At 38.7% G+C, this 2,572-nt stretch overlaps 1 annotated feature.

Moving 5' to 3' along the window:
* Positions 1 to 811: an enhancer, noted in NCBI's record as "OCT4-NANOG-H3K27ac hESC enhancer chr6:94539476-94540286 (GRCh37/hg19 assembly coordinates)". NCBI's record gives its function as "activates a minimal SCP1, AML or CMV promoter by ChIP-STARR-seq in naive and primed H9 embryonic stem cells {active_cell/tissue: H9 hESC(naive and primed)}" and the evidence as "EXISTENCE:reporter gene assay evidence [ECO:0000049][PMID:30033119]".

Here is a 2,572-nt window from a genome sequence, read left to right as displayed (position 1 = left end):
GCAGGAATGTCAGGCCTCTGAGCCCAAGCCAAGCCATCGCATCCCCTGTGACTTGCACGTATATGCCCAGATGGCCTGAAGTAACTGAAGAATCACAAAAGAAGTGAATATGCCCTTCCCCACCTTAACTGATAACATTCCACCACAAAAGAAGTGTAAATGGTCGGTCCTTGCCTTAAGTGATGACATTACCTTGTGAAAGTCCTTTTCCTGGCTCATCCTGGCTCAAAAAGCACCCCCACTGAGCACCTTGCGACTCCCACTCCTGCCCGCCAGAGAACAAACCCCCTTTGACTGTAATTTTCCTTTACCTACCCAAATCCTGTAAAACGGCCCCACCCCATCTCCCTTCACTGACTCTCTTTTCGGACTCAGCCCACCTGCACCCAGGTGAAATAAACAGCCATGTTGCTGTGTAATTTATATTAAAAAAAGAGGATTAATTGACTCAAAGTTCAGCATGGCTTGGGAGGCCTCAGGAAACTTACAATCATGGCATAAGGGGAAGCAAATATGTCCTTCTTCACATGGTGGCAGCAAGGAGAATTGTAGACAGAAGATGGGGAAAGCCCTTTATAAAATCTTCAGATCTTGTGAGAACTCACTCACTATCATGAGAACAGCATGGAGGTAACTGGCCCCATGATTCAATTACCTCCCACTGGGTCCTTCCCAGGAAATGTAGGGATTATGAGAATTACAATTCAAGATAAGATCTGGGTGGGGATACAGCAAAACCATATCACCTACTAACTAAAAAGGCCCAGATCTAGACAGATTCACAGTTGAATTTTACCAGATGTACAAAGAAGAGCTGGTACCTTCCCTTCTCAATGTATTTCAAAAAATTGAAGAGACTCCTCCCTAACTCATTGTATAAGGCAAGTATCCTGATACCAAAACCTGGCAGACACACACACACACACACACACACACAAAAGAAAACTTCAGGCCAATATCCTTGATGAACATCAGTGAAAAATTCCTCAACAAATTGCATCTAGTGGCACATCTCAAAGCTTATCCACCACAAACAAGTAGACTTCACCTCTGGGATCCAAGGTTGGTTCAATATATGTAATCAGTAAATGTGATTCATCACATAAACAGAACTAAAGACAAAAAAAAAAAACATAGTTACCTCAATAGATGCAGAAAAGGCTATTGATAAAATTCAACATCCCTTCATGTTAAAAACTCTCAATAAACTAGATATTGAAGGAACATACTTCAAAATAATGAGAGCTATATATGACAGATGTACAGCCAATGTCATATTAAATGGGCGAAAGCTGGAAGCATTCTCCTTGAAAACCAGCAAAAGAAAAGGGTGCCCTGTCTCACCACTTCTATTCATCATAGTATTGGAAACTGTGGCCAGGGCAATAGGTAAGAGAAAGAAAGAAAGTCATTCAGCTAGGAAGAGAGGAATTCAAAGTATTTGTGATTGCAAATGGCATGTCTTATATCTAGAAAACTCCATCCTTTCAGCCTAAAAGCTTCCTAAGCTAATAAGCAACTTCAGCAAAGTCTCAGGATACAAATGTGTGCAAAAATCACTAGCATTCCTGTACATGAGAAACAGTCAAGAAGAGAGCCAATCATGAACAAACTCTCACAATTGCCCCAAAAATAATATTAATAATTTTTAAGAGCTAGGCACTTAGTATTACAATTACAGAACATCAAATATAAAAGTAATATTAAACGCTTGCAGTGAATAGAGATACATTGCTTATGGGATATGTGACATCAAAGAAAACATCAGAGACTTTGTTAAAGGCAGCAAGACAGATTTTATTCAGTTTATTTAAGTTTGGGAGACTGACTCCAGTATAAACAGCTTAAATTCAACTAAGACAAAGATGGCCGAAGATTTTTTTGTCAACTTTTATTTAAGTAGTACCAATAGGTAGTTTTTCAACCCCTCCTCTCTTCCCTCCTCTCCTGTTTTGTAGTCCCCAGTGTCTATTGTTTCCCTCTTTGTGTCCATGCATACCCAATGTTTAGCTTCCAGTTATAAGAGAGAACATGCAGCATTTATTTTTCCATTTTTTGCATTAACTCACTTAGGATAATGGCCTCCAGTTGCATCCATGTTGCTGAAAAAGACATGATTTCATTATTTTTTATGGCTTTGTGATTACATCATGTGTATGTTCCTCATTTTCTTTATCCAATTCATCTTTGATGAGCACCTAGGTTGATTCCATGGCTTTACTATTGTAAAATAGTGCAGTGATAAACATACAAAGCCATGTTTCTTTTATTTATTTTCCTTTGGATATACGGCCAGTAGTGGGATTGCTGGGTTAAATGATAGTTCTTTTAGTTGTTTGAGAAATCTCCTAACTGCTGTCTAAAATGGCTGAACTAATTTATACCCGCACTTGAAGTTTTTCAAGAGAAAAAAAAAAGAAGAAAAAGAGACAATGGGAAGGTAAAAAAGGAAGAACAAAATGGACTGGGGGATCTGGAGATATCAGGAATTACAAGAAGGGGTCAAATGAACAATTATTAAAAATGTTTTGACAAAGTCGGTAAGGACAATTGACAATTTGCAGTTTGGCAG

This window comes from Homo sapiens, chromosome 6, assembly GCF_000001405.40.
Source record: "Homo sapiens chromosome 6, GRCh38.p14 Primary Assembly".
NCBI classification, from domain to species: Eukaryota; Metazoa; Chordata; class Mammalia; order Primates; family Hominidae; genus Homo; species Homo sapiens.
The sequence above is the reverse complement of the archived record's forward strand: the minus strand, read 5'-3'. Positions and strand labels throughout refer to the sequence as shown.